Source organism: Homo sapiens, chromosome 17, assembly GCF_000001405.40.
Source record: "Homo sapiens chromosome 17, GRCh38.p14 Primary Assembly".
NCBI classification, from domain to species: domain Eukaryota; kingdom Metazoa; phylum Chordata; class Mammalia; order Primates; family Hominidae; genus Homo; species Homo sapiens.
Window position 1 is genome coordinate 54060046 of NC_000017.11, and position 7792 is coordinate 54067837.

The 7792-nt window shown below is 34.9% G+C and overlaps 1 long non-coding RNA gene across 1 annotated transcript; it reads right to left on the minus strand.

The window, feature by feature from the left end:
- Window positions 1-1639: 1639 nt before the first annotated feature.
- Window positions 1640-6779, minus strand: LOC124904031 (uncharacterized). The gene is made up of 2 exons (XR_007065852.1): window positions 6532-6779; window positions 1640-3067 (listed from the first exon to the last, which is right to left on the minus strand). It is a non-coding gene; the product is annotated as an uncharacterized LOC124904031 (long non-coding RNA).
- Window positions 6780-7792: the final 1013 nt, after the last annotated feature.

Here is a 7792-nt window from a genome sequence, read left to right on the forward strand (position 1 = left end):
AGGAAAAAATGAGTGTCTTTATAGTATAAAAGCTTGGCAGACTCTAGGGAAGATTGTCAAATAATCAAAGTTAATATCACCAGTAATGGAACAGGACAAAATTAAATTCTGTAACACACGATAGGATCTAAAACAAAACAAAATGAATAAACAGCATCACTTCAGTGATATTTCTGCCATGGTAGAATATGAATATAACTATTTTAAAAAAGCAGACAGACAAACCAAAGTGAGGGACAAGCTACAAAATAACAGCTTCTACCCTTCAAGAATTTTAATGATATAAAAGTCAAGGAAAGATTGAAGAACTGTTCCCATTGAAGTTGAAGAAGACAAAAGGGACCTTGTGACTAAGTGCAAAATGTGTTGCCAAAGCCGATCTTTTTTGCTATAAAGGGCTCTTATTAGGAAATCTGTCAAAACTTAGATGAGGTCTGAGAACTACATGGTGACAGTACATCTGAGTTAGTCTCTTTATTTTGATATTAATACAAATGTGTATTAATTAAGAAATGTGAGAGAATTTGTGTTTACAGGAAATAAGCACTAAATATTCCAGAGTGTTGAGAGAACATGGTAACTTATCTTTAAATCATTCCAAAAAATAAAGTTCCTGGTATTATATTTACATTTCTAAAAGGTTAGGATTTTTTTCTAACGATTTTTAAAAAGAATCACTTGTAGCTGGTCTTTCTTCCTGTCTCCTCTAACATAACTAAACAGTGTGACCCAGACTGTCTTCCTTTATTCCTCTCCCCCTGCTTTTAATGACATGTACAAGCCATTTAGGCATATATAACTTTTAAATACAATTTGAGGACAACAGCACTGGAGTAGAGAAGGGGATATTTCATTGCAGCACAATATGAGAGATTCTTGTAAAAATCTCCCTAGTCAAATGTCTTTGGCAGATTTTCTTCTAAATTCTGCTGGCCTCCTGCTGAAACCCTGTCCCACCAGGTCCTCCTTACTCCTTCTTCTCTGGCTGTTCTCATTCTCCCAGTGCAGGTATTTTTTATATAGATCACCATATGAGCATGTCAAGTCCCAAGCTCATTATGGATACCCCAGGGTGCATACAACCAAACAACCATGCTAAGATGTGCTTCTAAAGAACCCTATTCCACAAAAGAATTCTACAGTTTGCTCCCCAAATAACAAGAGCTCTCTCTTTAGTGTTCACTATAAAATATAGTACCATGCAATAACACAGTAAAAAATCGATAACATGTTGTCAAATTAAATTAATGAGATTTAAATGCTGAAGTTGGAATCTTTACCAGTGCAACTTTTAGAAACATTTTCAATTCAGACACACACAGACTTGTTGGAATGGATGCTCTTTTGTCTGAACACACAATGGAACAATCAATACATTTATTCAGTGAATTTGTGATTTTGTTTATAAACTGAGTAGGCCAGGTGAGATAATTAAAAGTAGTCAATCGGATTTTTCTAAGCTTTACTCACAGATCATTTAGTATGTGAATTAATTCATCTCTGGATATGCTAGTTGCTTAACTTTCACCCTTTTAGTTAATGAAATGCATGTCATATAATTAATAAAGCCATTTCTCTCCTGAATATTGATATACTTCTAAATCATAGATCAAAGTTTTTGTAGAAAGCATTCAGAATATTTAAAGTTTTAGGTAGCACTTTTTATTCCTAGTGTTAGTACATGAAATATTGTAGACAATGAGGCCTTTGCATTCAATTTGTTAGAATAAGAGTTCTTTAACTTTTGTTTAAATTAATTCATAAGAACGTTATTCAGTGCAGTCTGAGTACCTTGGCAGCATTAAGACACAACATCTTCTATATACAGTTTGGAATAATTGTGAACTAAAAATTTTAATACTGTTCTGATTTTGTCTATGATGTATCACTATGGTTCCTTAACAGTTGCAATTGCACAGAGCATTTGAGAAGCAAAACAATCTAAGCGCCTCAACTTACAACAATAATGAGTACAACAGTTTGTTGAAGTAGCTGTAAATCAAATGTTCTGTAGCTATTTTTTTTAAAAAAAGCCCATAAGTTATTTGGATAGGATCCTTTACTTCTGCCACCTAACAGAAGCTCTGCATACAAATAAAAAGGAAGCATCCATGTTGTCTTCAGGTTAAGGTTTGCCCCTGAAAAGAAAGATGTTGTAGATTTTTTCCTGAAACATTGCTGAAGTTCAGCTTCATCTAGTAGAAGCCAAAGCAGGACAATTACATCGTGGATACACTCAAAATCAGTTCATTGTTATGAGAAACTGGAGATCACAGAGAACAAATGAAATTACATGCCACAAAAATGAGAAAATGTATTTTCCACTTCCATGTTTCTTACCTTTAACTCGCTAAAGATTCTTCTTTCACAAACAAAAAAATAACAACAACAACAAAAAAAACAGGTATAACCTAGATTCCAGTCACATAATATGCAAGTCCTTCTTTAGAAATAGGTTGGGAAGTGGGTTGATGTGAGATAAGGAAATGACTCCAATGTCTTCACGCCCTGGTCTATAGTTTTAATATACAGTTTATGCATGTCTTCAAGTAGGAACATGGTCTTAAGTTTAATTACAGATATTTTCTTAGGAAGGATACATAATCGAGAGCCAGAAATTAATCTACCATGGAAAAAAGCAAAGTGGTAGACATTAATTTTCAGTCAAATTAAATCTGATAGATTTATTTTTGGTGTTATGTTGTTATTGAGTGAGATGAGATACTTTCCTGTTTGTTTTGAAAAGGTATTAATTATAATTGACGAGAAAATTAAGCCCAACATATTGCCATTCACATGATTTGTCGAAAATAATAGAAACTCTCCTATTTGATTATGGAGCGAAGGCATAAATTTAGGAAATACTTAAATAAAAATAGTGATATTCATGTTAATGTGATTAAATGGCATAAAAAGTAATATTCAGTTTTCATCTATGAGGTCATGGCACACTAGTAGTGTCAGGGTGGGTCAAACCTGAAGCAAAGTTACCTGGGAACGCCTGAGATAATTTAACCAGGATAGAGCACTGGATTCATCTTGGTTGAGGAGTCAAAATTATATGTAGCTGGAAAGACAATAACAAGCATCAAATAAATTATTATATGGCAGGATGCCAGTCCTACTCAATGGCCCTGGAAAAGTCTTCTATATAGATAAGATTCTGGGCTAACTTTGAGGAATTCATGTATGTCTTGAGAAACATACATGTATGTTTTTTGCTATCATGTATGGTGGCTTATCTTAGTAGCCATTTTATCCGACAAACATTTATTGAAAGCATACTATATACTAGGCACTACAAAAAATAATAGGGATACAACAGCAATCAAAGTATACATGATCTCTGACCCTCAGAGTTAATGGCTAAGTGGGTGACATTATCCAAAGGAAACAGCATTATAGTAAGATTTGTGCAATGAATGTATAGAGGACTGAGACTTTATTTAGTCTTAGGAATGAAGAAGCTTTGGTTAATAATTCTGCTGGTGCTTGTTTAAACTTGACTTTGCCAGAGTATACATGAAGTTTTCATATGTTTGCCATTTCTATAGTTTTTTTATGTCAGTTAACTTTTGCCATGTAACATACTACACTAAGATACAGGGACTTAAAACAACTATTTATTTGCTCACAATTCTATGGGTCAATAGGTGGTTCTATTGGTCTTGAGCAACTTGGCTCATCTCTGCTGTCAACTGTCATTTTGTCTGGGTCTAAAAATTCTCAGATGGCCTTATTCACATGTCTGGACAATCTGTTAGGATTGTTGGAATGTCCAGAATGACTAGTCTCTTTCTTCCAATAGGCAAGCTTGGGCTTGTTCTTATGCTGGCCTAAGGCTTTTCAACAGCAAGAGAGAGCAGGACCAAATTTGCAAGAACTATTTAAGCCTCTGCTTATATCAAATTTTCCAATGCCCCAAAGCAAGCAATATGGCCACGCTCAGATTCAAAGGGTAGAGAAATAGACTCCTTCTATTGCTAGGTGGAGGTACAAAAATATTCGCCACTGCACTTTATTGAAGATGGTGTGGGCAACCTTGCTGTCACAGAACTGCTTTCGTGATGAAAGTTTTCAACTTCTTCCTGACTTAGAACCAATTTTTAATTATTAATATTGACTATTAAAGTTCTTCCCCTGTTCTTTTCCATTTTTATCTTGTTCTCCACCACTGCCTACTATTAAAACTTCAGCCAGAAAGTTCTACAAATTGACCTTTAAATCCACTTCTGCCAATGAGATTTGCTCATCCTTTAAGATTTAGCATAACTCTATATTAATGTTCTGATTTTTCTCATTACTCTGAATAAGAATGACTTTATGGCTCCAGACGAAACTGCTTATATTCAAATTGCCTTTAAGGGAGTTGCTTACTATAGTTTCCTAAACTCAGAACAGTGCCTATTCCCTGCAGCACATATTTTTGCTCTTACTGTTAAACTTATTTGGATTTTATAACCACTTCTTAAATGTCTATTTTGTCTCCCTCACCAGAAAGCAAGCCTCTTAAGGACCAAAGCTATTTCTTTTATGTTTTACCCCTCAGTAGACTGTCTTTAAGTCCTTAAATACATGTAAAATTAAGGTATTATTTCATTTTATAAACTATATGTTTATGGTTTTAGTTATGAGAAATATGTAAAATGAGATACATATTAACTTTTTGTTTATCCCAAAATAATTGACCATTTTCCCTGTTTCAATTTACAACTAAGGAGCCCAAGAGAATAAAGATAATAGATTAGGTAGCTTGAAAGAGTAGAGAATGAAAAATTTGCAAGATGTGGAAGTTGGCCAGATGTTGACAGATATGGAATTAGTAACCAAAATATACTTTCAATAAACATTTGTATCGGATGTGTCATTTTTTTTCTCAGCAAAATTTTTGCTTCACTCGCTTCTGACATCTACTGAGTATCTAGAATGGAGCAGCTGCTGTATCTCCACCAAAACAAATACAGAATGTCCGAAGCAAAACAGAAGGTCAAGCAGTAACCCTCTGCAAAGAAGTGTAAACTTTCTCCATGTGGATATCAGTGTTTTCTAATTTTTTATTGCATCCTGGCATAAAGATCTTAAAAAATACCAGAAAGCCTGTTTGAAAAGGGAACATTAGCTAATTTTCTCCATACTTTATATATAAATATCCATCTTATGGATGTTTGGAAACATTTGAAGTCTTGGAAAATTGCTTTCCTTTACATGGTGGTGTGTTTAGTATTGAATAGTTATAGCTTTGATATATACTTTTCTTTATTTTGATAAATATATCCTATTTTTCTTCATTTGACTAAGAATCCCGAAATGGAAAGCAGGTGATATGCATTTCTAATTCAGGCTTTTACACATAATTAGCTATGTGACTCATCTAAGCCTTTGTTGCCCAGTCTATAAAACAGGGACATTAATGCCCACCCTTGCTACTTTATAGAGTAATGATGACCAAATCAAATAATGCACATGAAAATGTTTTATAACTTGGAAAATGGAAGGGGTAATTGCACTAGTGTATGATCATAGCATAATATCTAAGTATGTTTTTTTTCTCTCTACTCAAATTTCTCATTTATTACCTAGACCACGCAATATTCCACTAATTAGCTCTGAAATCTTTGTCAAGTCATTCACCTCTCTGGATCACATTTTTCTCATCATGAAAATGGGGGAGATTTACTAGATAATATCAAGGAGGGCTTTTCCATATTTTAAAATTCTAAGATCATCTATTTTATTTATTTATTTTAATTTGTTGACATACGGTCTCACTCTGTCACCCAGGCTGGAGTGAAGTATCATAATCATAGCTCATTGCAGCCTTGATCCTGCAGGCTCTAGTGATCCTCTTGCCTCAACCTCCTGAGTAGCTGAGACTACAAGCATGTGCCACCACATCTGGGTAATTTTTTTTCCATTTTAATTAAAGATGAGTTCTCACTATGTTGCCCAGGTGGTCTTGAACTCCTAAACTGAAAATATTCTCCCACGTTGGCTTCTCAAAGTGCTGGAATTACAGCCATGAGCTACCATGCCTGGCCTAACACAATATATTTTTTCAAAATATTGGTTATGGCATGTTGTTTGAAAAAAAATAGGAAGTAACATGAGCCTCCTCTCCTTTAATTGATGGTCATTAGCAAGATTTTATGAAATTCCTTCTTGGTATTTTTTTAAGTGTTTATTATGCAATGGAATAAAGTTAAAGTCCCTTAAGTCAGTTGTTCGTACATCATAATGTCCTACTTGAAAGTTTGCAATGGCTTCTTATTGCAATTAGATTAAAATTAAACTCTGTATGATGGTTTAAAAGACCCTTTATTACTTTGCTTCTGTCTATGTGTAGGTTTTTAAAAAGTGATCCCAAATTTCTTGGTATTTGTCCCACTGAGAGACAGTGTTCTATATCTCTACCCTATGAATCTGAATGACTTCTTTAACCAATAAAATATGGGTGAAGTGATCCTATGGGACCTCATAGACTAGGTTATCAAAGATCATGTTGCTTATGCTTAGATCTTGTGAAATACTTACTTTGTGTATATTATTTTTGGGCCTCTCCTCAGAAATCAGCCTCCATGCTGTGGAAAGCCCAAGCCACATGAAGAGGCCACATGTTTGTGCTTTGGTCAACAGTCCCAGTGGGTTCCAAGTTTTCCCAGTCCAGGTGCCAGGCAAGAGAGTGAAGAAGACTCCAAATGATTCCAAGAGGTTCCAGACATAGTGGAGCAGAGATAAGTCATCCTTGCTATTCTCTGGCCAAAACCTTGACCCAATGACCTGTGAGCATAACAAAATACTTGTTTTACACCAGTGACTTTGGGTGGGGCTTGGTTATATATCTACAAGTTACCAGATCAACACACCTCTCTCACCCTCTCCCTCATTCATCTCTTCTAGATATGCTGGATTCTCTTAGTCTCTTGTCTATGAAAGGATTCTCCTATCTGGCACGTTTGTGCTTACTGTGCCCTTTACCAAGCACTTTTTCCTTCCATTAATGTGTGGTTGTCTACTTGTAATCTTTGATGGTTTAGCTAAATAGCTCCTTGTAAGAGAAATTCATTTTCTAACCACCCTGCCCAAAATAACCTCCCTACACACCATCCAAAATGTTTTTAGCAGTCTAAAATTATCTTTATTATCTGTCTGTGTGTTTATTACGTCTTGCTCCTATAGTATCTGCCATGTGAGCAGACACTTTCTTCTATCTTATTCACAGTCACATACACAGCACCTGAAAGACACTTAGAGAATAATAAAACATAATGAACATAAGCATATGTTTGATAGAGGCTTAAAACGTATATTCTTAGGCCCAAAACTGAAATTCAATTTTAAAAGTCTTTAATGAGATCTGTACTTTGATTTTCTTTGTTGTTGTTGCTGTTGCAAAAAAGGCAAGCTTTTATTTTATTTTATTTTATTTTATTTTATTTTTATTATACTTTAAGTTCTAGAGTACATGTGCACAATGTACAGGTTTGTTACATAGGTATACATGTCCCATGTTGGTTTGCTGCACCCATCAACTCATCATTTACATTAGGTATTTCTCCTAAAGCTATCCTTCCCCTAGCCCCTCACCCATCAACAGGCTCCAGAGTGTGATGTTCCCCTCCCTGTGTCCATGTGTTGTAATTGTTCAGCTCCCACTTATGAGTGAGAACATGTGGTGTTTGGTTTTCTGTCCTTGTGATATTTTGCTGAGAATGATGATTTCCAGTTTCATCCATGTCCCTGCAAAGAACATCAACTCATCCTTTTTTATGGCTGCATAGTGTTCCATAATGTA